General features: G+C 37.0%; 1 long non-coding RNA gene across 1 annotated transcript in view; it reads right to left on the bottom strand.

Moving 5' to 3' along the window:
• LOC105377179 (uncharacterized) overlaps window positions 1-16751 on the bottom strand; it is a 30411-nt gene that overhangs the window by 2493 nt on the left and 11167 nt on the right. The window contains exons 2-3 of the long non-coding RNA XR_940999.2: window positions 12554-12745; window positions 11831-12024 (exon numbers count right to left, since the gene is read on the bottom strand). This is a non-coding gene — a long non-coding RNA (uncharacterized LOC105377179). The remainder of the gene's footprint in view (window positions 1-11830; window positions 12025-12553; window positions 12746-16751) is intronic.

Below are 16751 nucleotides of genomic sequence, written 5' to 3'. Positions count from 1 at the left end.
CTTAGGGCCCAAAATTGCTATGCCGAAGGGAAAAGTCAAGCTGAGAACTGCTCAAGGCAAACCTGCCTCCCATTCTTTTCAAAGCCATCCCTCTGCTCACTGAGATAGAGGCATAGTCTGATTGCCTCCTTTGGAAAGGTTTATCAGAAACTCAAAAGAGTGTGACCATTTGTCTCTCACCTACCTGTGACCTAGAAGGCCCCTCCCTGCTTCAAGTTGTCGCCGCCTTTCTGGATAGAACCAATGCATGTCTTACATATATTGATCGATGTCTCATGTCTCCCGAACATGTAAAAGCAAGCTGTGTCCCAAACAGCATGTGCACATGTCATCAGGACTTCCTGAGGCTGTGTCATGGGTGTGTGTCCTCAACCTTGGCAAAATAAACTTTCTAAATTAACTGAGACCTGTCTCAAATTTTCAGAGTTCACAGTATTAAAAAAAAGAAACCAGCACTTTGAGAGGCTGAGGCAGGCAGATGATGAGGTCAGGAGTTCGATACCAGTCTGAACAACATGGTGAAACCCCATCTCTACTAAAAATACAAAAATTGACTGGGCATGGTGAGGTATGCCTATAGTCCCAGCTACTCAGGAGGCTGAGGCAGGAGAATCGCTTGAACCCGGGAGGTGGAGGTTGCAGTGAGCCGAGATCGCGCCACTGCAGTCCAGCCTGGATGACAGAGTAAGACTCTGTCTCAAAAATAAATAAATAAATAAAAATTAAAAAATAAAGAAAGAAAACATAATACTTTGAGGAAGGAGAGAAAAAGGCAGATCAGTTGGGGATCTCAGGACCTGAGGAATGACATGGCAGGGAGCTCATCATATTTCCTTTTAGCCTCATATATCTCAGGCTGGATGCTAGAAAAGAAAGCATCCAGAAATATCAATGGATGCGTACTTAAAAACATACAACAAAACCCAACAAAAGCCTGTCTTCTCCAGACAATGCACTAGATAAGGGAAGCATAACAAGATAAAACGTTTAGACATTAACTGACTCCAGCCAACCCCTATGAAAAAAAACCACAGTCCCACTCCCACTCAGATCAGCAAAGGCCAAATGAAAAGCTGAAACTTAGATCCTCAGTCAGCTGCAATGGAGCACCCACCCTGGTCAGGCTGGTGTCAGAGCTGGGACCTACATCTCTGCCTGGATGTTAAACATCCTCTTCACTTCATGTTGTCAACGGAGAGCATACAGGAATATGGACTCCCACCTCCAATCTGAGATAGTGAGGGGCCTCCTCCTCCTCTCCCTAAAGCGGTATCAGAGGAAGCTGAGTGCAAAGCCTAGACTTTCACCACTTCCCAGCAGTAACAAGTCTCTCCCACCACCTTAGTCTCAGTGCAGGCTACGTGGGGATTCATAACAAGGAGATCCTCCCCTTATCAGCCTCAGTGGTGTCAGCATAGACTACTGAGCAGGCTGTACTTATCCCCATCCAGTAGTAAAAAGTCACTACCTCCAAGAGTGCAACAGAAAAGGATCTGGACTTCCTTCCCCACCTGGCAGTAATGAGGTGGTGTGGTGCCCCGCTTTGCACACCAGCATGGTGTCACAGGAGGCCTGCTCAAACAGAAGATTTAAGTAAGACCCAAAATATTATATCTAGGACATAATAAAAAAATTTTTTTTATTGTTAATTGGTCCTACACTTGGTCACTGGAAAAGCAGAGACAAATGTTCTGGTAAAGGTTTCAACAAGAAATTTTCTAACCTTGTGGTCCAAATCTTACTGTGATTGGTTTCTTAAACACAGTGTAAGCCTGCCCATTTTGAGACAACTTACTGAGGTCAGTGGATGGTTGATATAATGTTACAAATCAAAAGGTCTAAAATGTTATGGGTGACTTTGTTTGCTTCTCATAGGGAGTGTATGATATACTGGGAAGGTTTTAGAGTCACTCAGATCCATTTTTAAATCTCTGTTCCTCCACTTAGCAGAAATACGATCTTCATTAAATGTGTTAACCTGTCCAAGCCATTAGTTTCTTTGCTTATAAAATATACTACTAGTAGTAGGTATTATAGTAACAATAGCAATAGAATGACAGTAGTATTCTAGAGGAAGCAAAATTCTACCTATACTCTCTTACCTGGGACTGAGGATTAAACTAACATAAGACAGATTAACAGGAGAAAAAACATGTATATTTATTTACTATACATTTTCCATGACACAAGAGCCCTCTTAAAGAGATGGAGGACCACTTAGAATTGAACACTTGTATACTGAGTTGAACAAAGAGTACAAAATTGTGAAAACATGACAATGCAAGGGGAGTTGGACTAGGATAGTTAATCGTGTAGAAGTGACTAGAAACATAAGGGTTTGTTTAACAGGGTTTGCTTGTACAGACTTCTCTTGGCTTCAATTTGTCATCTCTGGTAAGAAGAAGGCCTTTCGCCTTTCTGCCTCCAGTTGCAGGGAGACCATCTTCCACATGGGAATCTCATCTCCTGCTTTAAGTTAGGTCACAGCGCCCTTTCCTGCATCTGTTGTTGGTTTTCAGTTTTTTAACTCAAAAACAATCAAGACACCAGAGCACCGTATTTTGAGGTGGTATGTTCTGAACTCCTTCTGTATAGTATTAATGTTAGTGGAAGGAGTAGTATGTAGTAATCACTTTGCCCATATTATCTCATGTAATATCTTCAACAGCCCGTTGCAAGATAAGTATTGTAATCGTCACTGTAAAAGTAAGGAAACTGGGGAGGATTTAATTTGAGGGGTTGAGTAATTTTTTCAAGATCACACAGCTCATAGTTGACAGTGCTGGGACGCAGAACCATGGCTGTTAACTTCAAAGCCCATATTTCATCAAGTACACTGAGAAGCTTCCCTAAATGCAACAGTGTTTGTAAGAGTATTTAGTGCAAAAATAGTAAACATTCAATTACTGTTAGCCCCTTCACTACTATTTTACGTGATATTTGCATTTATGTATAAATGTATACAAATGTGCTTAGAAATAAAAATAAAATTGTAAGCACCGCCCATCAACTGAAGGGACCCCTGATTGGTCAAGGGGACTCCAGAGAAATCTTGGAAGCTGAATTCCCAGCCATGACATGGTGGGAGGTTGGCCATGACTCATTATATCCCCTCCGTCACTAACCATCATTAGGCTTTCCCCCTAAGGGCTAAACAGAAACCAGCCCTTTTGAAAGACTCCACCATTGATATCAACCAACTGCCTGACACTGCCCCTCCCTTATGTCATTTTGACAAAGAAACTGACCAGCATTTCTTCCTGAAAAGAGATCACCAACCACAGGGTGGTTCTGACCAGTCAATGGAGAATGTGCCTTAGGTGTTTTTGTGTCCTCTGCTTCACCTTTTGATGTCAGAGAGCAGAAAGCTCCACCCTCAGATTATGCTAACATCATTTTCCTTTTTTTTTTTTTTTTTTTTGGAGACAGAGTCTGACTCTGGAGTGCAGTGGTACCATCACAGCTCACTGTAATCTCTGCCTCCTAGGTTCAAGCCATTTTTGTGCCTCAGCCTCCCAAGTAGCTGGGAATATAGGTGTGCACCACCACACCTGGTCAACTTTTGTATTTTTATTAGAGGTGGTGTTTCACCATGCTGGCTAGGCTGGTTTTAAACTCGTGGGCTCAAGTGATCCATCCACCTCGCCCTCCTAAAGTGTTAGGATTACAGGCATGAGCCACCACACCGGGCCTAGTACCACCATTTTTTTAACATGGGTCCCCTGGAGGGGAATGAAGCTCAATTGCACATGCACATGTTTATTCTCTTATAAATATTCTTGACTCCTCCTATAACTTACAGAATATGTATATCTGGCCATCCTTTTTAGCATAAATCCCTGTCATATTCTTCCAACTCTCAAAGTGTATGTTTCTGTCTTCTGGCTGTAGGCTATACTTCCCAGCCTATCATAATAGCCACTCTGCAGGCTATAGCCCTTTATGAGAAATAAAGCTCTCCTTTCCAGATTTATGAAACTTATCATTCTTCAGTTGACAGTACACACACATATATTTTTTATGTAAATTCCCCCTAAAAGGGCAGGTCTCTTATTAAGTGTGCTTACCACAATAAAATATAATAAAATAAATTTAATAATTTAAGTGCCTCTGAATTCCAATTTGAAGTTAAACTTATATTTGGTTCTTATAGTTCCTAAATAATACTATTCATTGCGGAGTCAAGGAACATACTAAGCTTCCATTCTTGAATTTTTTTCTTTTTTCTAGAGTCCAACATTTTTTATTTTTTATTTTTTGAGATGGAGTCTTGCTGTGTCACCCACACTGGAGTGCAGTGGCGCAATCTTGGCTCACGGCAACCTCCATCTCCCAGGTTCAAGCCATTCTCTTGCCTCAGTCCCCAGATTATCTGGTACAGGCATGCACCACCACAGCCAGCTAATTTTTTTGTATGTTTAGTAGAGACAGGCTTTCACCGTGTTGGCCAGGCTGGTCTTGAACTCCTAACCTCAGGTGATCTACCCACCTCAGCCTCCCCAAGTGCTGGGATTACAGGCATGAGCCACCGTGCCCGGCCTAGAGTCCAGTATTTTCTAATTGTTCTCATTTGTCTGGTTTTCTGTGTACCAGTTTTTCCCAGACCTTCCAACAGCCTTTCAGTACAGTTTTCTACTTGATCAAATATATCAGATTAGTTTTCCATTACATTTTTCTCTCAAACTGATGCACCTTCCCCAACCCCAGAACAGCTTCTTAATGTTCCAATGTAACCTCTAACTGTCCTAGCCTACTATGCGACTATGAATCTGGAAATTTTACTCTCTTCACTCCTATGCCAGACCTTGATTTCTTGATTCCATGTTTTCCTCTTTATGTGTTGCCTTTGCATATGCAAATGATGCCTTTGAAAACGTAGTATATTCAGATTGAGATATGATGATATTAGAATAATGGAAGGGAAACAGAAGAAGCTATATGAGAGCCAAATTCTTATCTGCCACAATAAGAAGTAAACAGATAAGGTCTAAACCATATAAATCAATAGTAACATCAATAACATGATGGAACAGGAGGTCCCTGGCTCTATTCTCACTCACAGAAATGCCAATTAACAACTATCCACAAACAAAAACACCTTTGAGAAAATCCCAGAAACCAGAGGTGAGGCTGAAGCACCCCCTGAGAAAACAAAACAACAACAACAAGAACAACAAAAGAACTAACAAAAGCTGAATTACAAAGGTCATAGAAGCAATTTCTGGAGAACTCTGAGGGTATTAGCAGGACTAGATCACCTAGGATCAGCTAAGGACAAAGAAGGGAGTAGAGTTCACGGTGACCAGTACATGCAACTTGGTGGTGGCACCACATCCCTGTCACTGACTTTGTCTAGCTGGAGTGCCTAGGCAGTGGATCTATCCATTCACAGAGCTTAACTGGTAGCCTTGTATGACCAGAGACCACAGAGAGCAGTTCTACTGAATTGGAATTCCCAGCCAGTCAGGGAGCATAGCCAGCAACACTGCCCAATTTTCAGGCATAGTCTGAGGGCTTTTCTGGGAAGGAAGCTCAGCCAAAGACCCTGCCCAAGTGCAGAGCCCAGTCTGAGGCCCAATCTAACTACAGACACAGCCAGAAGCCCTGGGCCACCAGAAACTCCAGCCAGTAGACCCACCCAACCATGGAGCCTACCCAGTGGCCCTACCCAACTGCAGAGCATGAGTAGTATTCTTGTCCAACCAAAGACAGAGGCAAAGAAACCTGCCTAAGGATGATACCAATTGGCTTGTTCAGAACCCCAGGATGGGTTGACTGGTGAAGTTCTTTTACTACAGAGGCAAGCGTGTAAAGGCTGAAGAAGGTGACCGTTTTCCCAATGCATAGACATGATTTCAAGGATACAAGGATCATGAAGGATCAGAGAAACATGACATCACATGACAAATAAACATGACAAAGAAAACTAATAAAGCTACAATAATTTACCCTAAAGAAATAGAGACACATGAACTAACTGACAGGGAATTCAGAATAGTCATCTTAAAGAAATTCAGTGAACTATAAGAAAACAGATCATTAAGTGATATTAGGAAAACAATATATGACCAAAATGAGAAGTCCAACCGGGCATGGTGGCTCATGCCTGAAATTCCAGCACTTTGGGAGGCCAAGGCAAAAGGATCACTTGAGCCGATGAGTTTTAGACCACCCTGGGAAACAAAGGGAGATCCTGTCTCTACAAAAAAGAAAAGAAAAAAAAAAAACCCTAAAAATTAGGTGGTCATGGTGGCATCTGTTTATAGTCCCAGCTACTTAGGAGGCTGATGCAGGAGGATCCCTTGAGCCTAAGAGTTTAACGTTGCAACAAGCTACAATCATGTCACTGTACTTCAGCCTGGATGACAGAGCACGACTGTCAAAAAGAGAGAGAGAGAGAAGTTCAAAGAAATACAAACAATATTAAAAAAATACAGAATCTTAGAGCTGAATAATGTAATTACTGAACTAAAATATTAAATAGAAAGCATCAACAGCAGACTCCATTAAGCAAAATAAATCATAAATGAACTTCAAGATAGCTCCTTTTAAATTATTCAGTCAAAGGAGCAAAAAGAATAAAAAGTAGTTAAGAAAAGCTACAGGACTCACGGAATATCATCAAGTGAAACAATAAACACATTATGGGAGTTCTAGAAGAAAAAGAAAAAGAAAAATGGGCAGAAGCCTTACTAAAATAATGATGACTAAAAACTTCCCAAATTGGAAGAAAGAAATAGATATCCAGATTCATGAGAACTAAAGACCTCCAACAGGATGAACTTGAAAAGGTTTACACCAAAATAAATTATAATTAAATTGTCCAAAGTCTAGACAAAGACAATTTTGAAAACAGCAAGAGAAAAGAGATTTGTCACATACTAGAGAGCCTCCATAATACTATAAATAAATTCTTCAGCAGAAACCTTGTAAGTCAGAAGAGAGTGGGATGATATACTCAAAACAGAAAAAGAAAAAAGAAATAAAACAAAACTGCTAACCAATAATACTATACTCAGCAAAGTTGCCCTTCAGAAATCAAGGAAAAATACTTTCCCAAACAAACAAAAGCTGAGGGAGATCATCAATATTAGATCTGCCTTACAAGAAATGGTAAAGTGAGTTCTTCAAGCTGAAAGGATGCTAATTTACATTATAACACCGTATTAATGTATAAAATTCACTGGTAAAGTTAAATACCTAGTCAAATTCAAAATTCTCTAATACTGTAATAATGGTACATAAACACTTTCAACTCTAGTATAAAAGTTAAAAGACAAAAGAATTAAGAAACCTACAATTATCATAATATGATAATGAATACACAATACAAAAAAATGTAAATTGTAACATCAATAACCTAAATGTAAGAGGTAAATATGGAGTTTTTAAAATTAAAGTTGTTATCAGCCTAAAACAGTTATAAAAAGATTTTTTTATATAAGCCTCATGGTGACCAAAAGCAAAAAACCTAAAGTAGATACAAAAAAGAATGAAAGAAAGGGATAAAAGTGTATCGCCAAAAAAAGACATCAAGTTTCAATGGAGGTCCACGCGCGGTGGCTCATGCCTGCAATCTTAGCACTTTGGGAGGCCGAAGCTGGTAGATCATGAGGTCAGGAGATTGAGACCATCCTGGCCACCATGGTGAAACCCCATCTCTACTAAAATACAAAAAATTAGCCAGGCCTGGTGGTGCTCTCCTGTAGTCCCAGCTACTTGGGAGGCTGTGGCAGGGGAATCGCTTGAACCAGGAGCAGTGAGCTGAGATTGCGCCATTGCACTCCAGCCTGGCAACAGGGTAAGACTCTGTCTCAAAAAACAAAAAACAAAAAAATTTCAGTGGAGACAGCAAAAGAGAGAAGAGGAACAGGGGAACTACGAAACCATCAGAAAACAAGAAAATGGCAATAGTAAGTCCTTATCTATCAAAATTACTTTAAACATAGATGGATTAAATTCACTAACTAAAAGACATCGAGTGACTGAATAGATTGAAGAAAAAAGCTCCAATTATATACTGTGTACAAGAGACTCACTTTGGCTTTAAGGACAACATAAGCTAAAATTGAAGGATATAGAAAGATATTTTATGCAAATGGTAACCAAAAGACAGAATGGGTGGCTATATTTATATCAGACAAAATAAGTCAAATATGGTCACAAGAACCAAAGCAAGTCATTACATAATAATAAAAGGTCAAATGTATCAAGGAGATATAAGAATTACAAATGTTTACATACTCAACATTGGAGCAACTAAATATATAAAGCAAATGTTAACAAAACTGAAGGGAAAAATAAATAGCAATAAAATAATAGTAAGGAACTTTAATATTTCACTCATAACAGAAATTAAATCAGGAAGCAGTGGATTTGAATAACACTACAGACTAAATGGACCTAACGCATATATAGAGCATCCCATCCAACAGCAGCAGACAACACCTTCTTCTCAAACACTCAGTGAACGTTCTCCATGATATATCATACTCAATGATGAAAAGCTGAAAACTTTCCCCCTAAGATCAGAAACAAGACAAGGATGTCCATTCTCACCACTTCTATTCAACAAAGTACTGGAAACCCTAACCAGAGCAATTAGGCAAGAAAAAGAAATAAAAAGCACCCAAATCAGAAAAAAGGAAATAAAATTGTCTCTGTTTATAGGTACATGATTGTATATTTAGGAAACCTTAAGTATTCCACCAAAAAAAAACTGTTAAAAATAATTCATTAAAGTTTTATCATACAAAAACAACATGCAAATGCAGTTGTTTCTGTACATTGTCAATGAACTGTTTGAAAAAGTATACGATAAAATGTCATTTAAAATATTATAAAAACAATAAAATATTTAGGAACAAATTTAGCAAATGAGATGAAAGATCTGTATTCTGAAAACTAATGATGATGAAATAAGATGATGAAATAAATTGAAGTCACAAGTAAATGGAAAGATATCCCATGTTTATGGATCAAAAGAATTAATACAATTAAAATGCCCATACTACCCAAAGCAATCTATAGATTCAATGCAATTCCTATCAGAATTTCAATGGCATTTTTACAGAAATAGAAAAAACAATTCTAAGATTTGGGTGAAACCACAAAAGACCCTGAATAGCCAAAGCAATCTTAAGATAGAAGAACCAATCTGGAGGCACCATGCTTCCTAGTTTCAAACTTTATTTCAAAGCTATAGTAATCAAAGCGGTATGGCACTGGCATAAAAACAAACATATAGACCAATGCAACAGGATAGAGAGCCCAGAAATAATGCCAACTAATCTCCAACAAAGGTGCCAAGAATACACAATACAGAAAGAATAGTCTTTTTAATAAATGACATATAGAAGACTGTATTTTCTTGCAAAAGTATGAACTTGAACCCCTATCTTACATCTAAGTCCCAAAAAATAAACTTGAAATGAATTAAAGACTTAAATATAGGACCTGAAATGGGAAAACTACTAGAAGAAACTGTAGGCGGAAAGTCCCTTGATATTGGCCTTGGCAATGATGTTTTGGAGATGACACTAAAAGCCCAGGCAACAAAAGCAAAAATAAACAAGTGGAACTACGACAGGCATAAAAGCTTCTGCACAGGAAAGGAAATAAGGCAATAAAAATGAGGCAAGCTACAAAATGGGAGAAAATATTTGCAAGCTATTTATCTGATAATGAGTTAATATCCAAAATATATAAGAAAGTCTTACAACTTAATAGCAAAAAATAATAATAGTAGTAGCCTAATTAAAACATGGAAAAAGAACCTCAATAGATATTTTTCCAAAGAAGACATGCAAATGGCCATGTAAATTGGTACACCCGTTATGCAAAACAGTATGGAGCTTCCTCAAAAAATTAAAAACAGAACTACAATATGGTCCAGCCACCATCCCACTTCTAGGTGTATATCCAAAGAAAACAAAATCAGTATCTCAAAGAGTTATCTTTACTCCCATATTCACTGCAGCATTATTTACAATAGCTAAGACATAGATACAACCTCTGTCCATTGATGAATGAACAGATAAATGTGTTATGTATGTGTGTCCCCACATATACATATATATATTATGGCTGAATTATAGATAAAATAACATTCAGCCATAAAGAAGAAGGAAATCTTTGTGATAACATGGATGAACCTGAAGTACATTATATTAAGTGAAACAAGCCAGACAGAGAAAGACAAATACTATATAATCTCACTTATATATGGAATCTAAAAAGCCAAACTAATAGAAACAAAGTATGATACTGGTTTCCATGGGCTGAGGGATGGGGTAAATGAGGAGCTGTTGGTCAAACTTATAACTTCTGGTTATAGGATGAATAAGTTCTGGGGAATCATTATCCTGTAACCTGAAGCATGGTGACTGTAGTCAACAATAGTGTATCATATACTTGAAATTTGCTGAGAGAGTAGATCTTAAGTGCTCTTACCACATACACAAGGGTGATAACTGTGAGGTGGTGAATGTGTTAACTAACTTGATTGTGTTAATCACCTTACGAGGTATATGTCTATGAAATCATGATGAACACAATAAACAGACAAAAAAATTGAAAAGATTTGAAAGTGATGGAACTAGGGAGCACAGCAGAGATTAAGAAGGGGCAGGGCAGGAATATAAAATTCTAATTTTGAGATTTAATGCCATTTTTCTGAAATCAGATTTCAATACAATTTTTTTGTTTATTAACTGTGACTGTTTACATTGATTTAAATGTCTTAAAAAGAAGTAAGCTACAAAATAGTATAGTGTATTAACTTACACAAACTTCAGAAAATTTAATGCAATATATTATACTTTACATATGCCTTCAGATACATAGATGTGTTGATACAGATCAACATAGTATAACATATCAGGTGAGAAAATGGAATGTGATCAAATTTAATAACCTTCCAATCCTCCAGGGAAATGTTATTAGCTTTGTAAAACTAAATACTCTTCTGAATATAAACCTTCCTCTGCATATTTCTGGAGTAAAGTGGTCAGAGGTATAATGAGCTGCAAGTCTGCATTTTGGTTTTAAATCTTCTTTGCTTTATTTCCCATTTGCTTACTTTTCTTTTCTTTCTTTTTGGATTTTGGATTTTCTTTTTAAAAATCTCACTACATCACTTGGGCCATCTACATCAATATAGAATTCTGCTCTGTTTTGTTTTTAGACCATGCTATATTACTCCACTAGGGAAATCTATACTTGAAACAGTATATGAGAAAAGACATCAGGGAGAAAATGTATGAAGGTAGGAGAACAGCAAACAAGGGACAGAGTTAAGAGGTGGAAATGGAGAGAGAGAGCGAGCAGCAATCACTTTATATTGGGCTTCAGTCAGTAACCAGCAGAGTAATAGAAGACAGAATGTATGTGGGCTACAGATTTATCATGAATGCAACTGCTCAGGGAAATCCAGAGAAAAAAGTCATCTTTTTTTTCTGTCTCTTTAAAAATCTTATTTAATTAAAAAAATAAAATCTGCTGACAAGATATGTTTTCAAATCCTTTTCTTTCTGATCCCCAATAGTTTTAAGCAATCCTAGAATTGGCAAAAACACACCAAGATTTCAAAAACAGAGCTTCCTCACTCAAAAAAAAGTCCTGGTAGGGAAGTAAATTTCAGCCTTTAGTTATGGCTACTGTAGCTTTTCCAGGCTTATTTCTTCTTCAGACAAATTCCATTCCCCCAGAAGCTACTCTATCAAGAGCTTCTCAACCATGCTATTAATGTGAAAATGAAAAATTTGCTTTATAGAGGCAGCACTCATGGGAAGAAGCATGCTGGCTCAGTGAGCTTCTAAGACTTGATTACCTGGAATTCCTGAAGCTTTTGCAGTTGTTGATGTAACTCTTGCAAAATAATGAAATTTCAACCTTTTCTAAACATAGTAGTTTTGATTCTCCTTAGACAAACTCTTGCATACATTTTGAATTTCTCACTCCAATTTCCTCTGGCCTTCTTCCCAGCAATCCCTTCTTGCATTCTCCCTGTCATTTGCTTTTAATCTAGAAACCAAAACAACAATAATTATTCTATCAGATAACAGGTGATGTTTCCAAATATGGAGAAGAGGGATGTTTTTCTTTACTACTCTGAGTCAAAATAATATGTTGATTAATTCAAACTAAGAAATTATACAATTTAACTTTTATAATTATCAAATTATTATTAAAAGAAATGTATGGTTTAGGAGGATCCTTAGTTTATGGTAGCTAAAGTTTGCTAAAGTAGCTTATCTTGATTTGAGAAAAAAGAAAGATTTTGCTGAATTCTAATATTTGTAGATTTCCTATCATACCACCCTAGGCTTAGCTTTTCTTTAACATACTGGGAAAAAATTATCCCAATAGACAAAAAAATCTTAACGTCTGAAATATCTTTGCCAAGGCATAGCATTTTCTTGAACTTTTATTTTTAAGGCTTCTTAAAATTTTCAAATTTCTCCCTTTGATTTATCAGAATGTTTGATGTTTCTCTAGCCGTTATCATGAATTCCAGAAGCATGCACCCTTATATACATGAAACCAATTTTACCTTGAGCATGTAGCTAAAAGAAGTCCAGATTCTAGTTCTGTAACATTCATGATTGCTTAGGATGTGAAAGAACAATCCAAAACAGTGGGTTTTTTTTCTCTCTCTCTACTGGACCCTGTCTTGACTCCAGTTTCTTCATTCTCTTACTGCTGATTTTCAGTGTGCTACTTACAGTTAAAATATGGGCTGATTCTAGAATGAGAAATATATTAAACCCTAGTAAAATGTACCATAGGAGGTCTTTTTTTGGATTAAATATAGAAAATGAATATAGATGTAGCAGCAAAAATCATCAAACTTCATTCGATAGCCTTAAAAATACTGGGAAAAATAGTAGGTCCGTACTAATGTCTGAGCCTAAAAAGATATTACTCTTTTCTTACTGGTTTTGGTAGAATCTAGTGTCTCTAAATACGAACATGTAACAGTCATAAAATATACGATAGTCATATTAAAATCTTTAGAATGTTAAAACTTATACCTCTTATTCTACTCTTGGATGGGTAACTAAATTTAACTTATATTTTGTACATGAAATGATGCTCTAGCTTTCTACTATAGTGACAGAACAGTGTTCCACCTGTTAATTTTCCAGATAACTGAAGCTTATAGTACCATAATATAGTTAAGATATTTTCCTATAGCTGTTATAAATTTTACAATTACAAAACTCAGCTACGCAGAGGTGGAGCTTCCATTATTCTTCCATGAGTAAACTTAATTTAAGTGTTTCTCATTTGGGAAGATAAAGGAAATTTCAGTCTTGCAAATTCAAGATTAAACACAATTACTTCCAATTTACATGTCAATCTCTGAGTTCACTATGCAATCACAGTCACAGTTCAGTATTTTCTCCCTCCCTCTTGGTCTTCCCTTCTCCCTGGATGGCCCTGGCTCCAGGAAGTTGGACATAGCTTCATGACATGGAGCAAAAGCCAGGCGGGGAGAAGAAATGGAAGAGTGGAGCAAGTTGTGGTCATCTCCATCTTTTATGGCCTCTGCTGACTATGGTTGATCCCTATTCATCCACTGAGGGTGTCTGAGGTCCTGTCATGACCTCTGCTTTTCAGGTACACTTACTCTCTGTCCTCTTCATTCCAAACACATCCACTTAATCTTAGCTACTTTCCCTGCACCATGCTGAGACATGCAATACCAATACCACATGACACTTCTCTCAGGCTCTGAGGAAGTGCTGCTCTACTTCTCAGACACCATGTGGGATGTGGGGCTCCTCTGCGAGGCTTCCTGTTTGTCTACACACAGAAAACCAGCAAATCTAACTCTAATTCCATGCTTTTCAGTTTCCCTCTTACTCTTGCTGATCAGACTTTTATCTCCTTGGGAGCTCTTAGGTCATACTGGAGTTCTCCTTGCTCTGATTTATGCTGTACCTGATCTGAGTCTTCTAGGTTCTGTGGTTCTTGATAAAGCCAAACTTTTGGAAATAAAAATGACTGCTTTTTTTAATCAAATATTTCACTGTAACAATTAAAAATTGGGGCATTTTCAAGCTTATAGTCTGTGCTGAAAATTTTATAAATCAATCTTCAAATTTAAAACAAAAAATGACTTTGTTTTGTCCTGGACTGCACATTTTGTCCACCTTAGGCAATGAATTTCTATAGTTCCAGTGCAGATTTATAATGTAATTTTCCAAATAATAATAATGTAAAATAAATAAAAGCATTGGCTAAAAATCTCCAAATATTATCTCATGGAAACAACCAGTTGTGCATAACAAATTCTTTTAGCATATCGCTTTCCTGCTTCTTAAGCTAAAATCAATTAGCCTTCTATTTATGACTACAGATCAGTTTTAGTAATCTCTAAAATTATGTGTTCTATCATTATAATGTCCTAATGTAATCCCTTACTCTACCAGGCTTTAGCTTAGACAAGTGACTTAGGCTCATGTGGAAACTGGAGATAATGGCTATATCACATAAGATTGTTGTTAGGAATTAGTAAAATAAATAAGTGCCTACCACAGAAACTAAATATAGTGTTCAATAAATGTTAGCTATTGTTGTTTTAAAATTATCAACTATACAAAGGGCTTCTTCGAGGCATACTGAATGTAGGCCCCTCCTCTGAATAAAGCCATGTGGATCTGCTGTTTGAGTTCCTCTCTTTTAATCAGGATTGGTTGCTACTCCCTACATTTTTCAGAGGAGGAGGTAAGGCAGATGGAGTAGAAACTAATCAAGTAAGAAGGAAGGCCTTGGATTCAAGGCTTTTAGCATAAAAATACAGTCTCCAAAGGGCAGTTTGGATACTAGAGCCAGGAGTAGATAATGCCTTTATTTCAGTCATCATAAATTTTTGGCATTAATTGTTTTAAATATTGCATTAAAGTAGTATTTATCTTAATTACTTAAATTTAATACCCAGCGTTAAATCATCTCACCCTAACCCCCACACTGTTGGATATTATAGTGAGAACCACGAGTAGAACCAGAGTAAATAGCAAAAAGAGCCTTTCTTTACATGACATGTTAGAGCAAGAGTTGCAAACTCAAATATCTCTGTGGGCTGAGAAGTTGATATAAATGAACTAAGCAAGTTTAGAGTAAGACAGCAGTGTGTGATGGAGCCTATGATTGAAGCAAACATTTCAAATTCTAACGGCATTCAAATTCAGATTTTTAAAGATGCTGGCCAGAAAATAAAATAAGACTACGTGGCCAGGGTGCAGTGGTTTACACCTGTAATCCCAGGACTTTTGGAAGCTGAGGCGTGGATCATTTGATGCCAGGAGTTCAGGACCAGCCTGGCCAACATGGCTAAACCCTGTCTCTACTGAAAATATAAAAATTAGATGGGCATGGTGGCATTCACCTGTAATCCCAGCTATTAGAGATGCTGAGGCACGAGAATCACTTGAACATGGGAGGCAGAGGTTGCAGTGAGCCGAGATCATGCTGCTGCACTCCAGCCTGAGTGACAGAGCGAGAACTTGTCAAAAAAAAAAAGGAGGAAAGAAAGAAAGAAAAAAACAAAGGCTAAAATTTTGTGACACTGGCTTCAAAGATTGGTCTCGCATTTGCCTAAAATCAGACGGATCTGGGTTTAGATTTTTTACTGTCTGGTTTCTGCAGTTGGATTTTGCCAGTGTTGGTAAAAGTACTAAATTCTCCAAAGTGCTGGAGGAGGGAATAAAAACTTGCATTATGACCATTGCCTGTGTGTCTTCTATGTGATCTTGAGAGAAGAGAAGTTGCCAGATCTGTATTTAACATCAATGCCTTCCCTCTATCCATTTTCTATTCAGTTTCTTGTAATGCAGACTAAAGAAATCAGTTAAGCTAGCAGTAAGATTTATTTTTAAATGAAAGAAGTGGCTCTAAGTATAGGGCCCCCAAATTCTTTTATGGGTAAAACTACACATGTTTAAAATCAAGACTCTTTTTACCATCTACTTTGAGAGATAGGGTGCCGCTTAAAAAAATAAGAATAGCTTTGGAATGAGTAGTATCTAAGTTTAAACCTCAGTTCTTCTGTTAATTATGTAAGTTCAAACAGGTAACTTTAACTCATTTTTTTATATTCCTCATCTGGAAAAAGGGACTAAAATTTTCCATCTAATTGGGTTATTGGAAAAAAAATCAAATAACAATATAAAGTGGTTTAAATATGACAGTAGTCAATGTTAGCACATAGTATAATTGTTTAGATATATGTCTAACCTTCTCACCTCTTGATTATATTGCAGATTGATGAATTTGATAAATAATGACTATTGTAAAGCTAATGGGCTACTATGTACATAAAAAATATAAATGACCTCCTATATATGATTCTGCATGTGAGGAGATAGTCATAGGGAATTCTATTTTTGATATCCTCAAATGTGACTTTAAACAAATCACATAGGCAGAATAATATATGTTTTAAGTACATGATTACTTCTCAACTTTTTTACTTTGTCAAGATTATGCTTCTGTTCTTTCCTTTGAGAGTAAATAAAATCTTTGTTTCATAATGTAGTTTCACAAAGGAATCACATTTTGTAAGTTAAATATTGCAGTCAGTCCAGAAATGTGATAGGGAGCCCTTTAAATCATAGAAAGATTCATAAACAAATATTCAGTAAAAAAATGTAGAGTTCAAAGGATGTCCAATTAGAATTCAGAAAGAGATGAGTTTTTAAATGCAATTTTAAACTTGTAAAGAGAATCTATCAGGAGGTAATTGA

This window comes from Homo sapiens, chromosome 3 (genome assembly GCF_000001405.40).
Source record: "Homo sapiens chromosome 3, GRCh38.p14 Primary Assembly".
Taxonomy (NCBI): Eukaryota; Metazoa; Chordata; class Mammalia; order Primates; family Hominidae; genus Homo; species Homo sapiens.
Note: the sequence above shows the minus strand (reverse complement) of the source record. Positions and strands in the feature narration are given on the sequence as shown.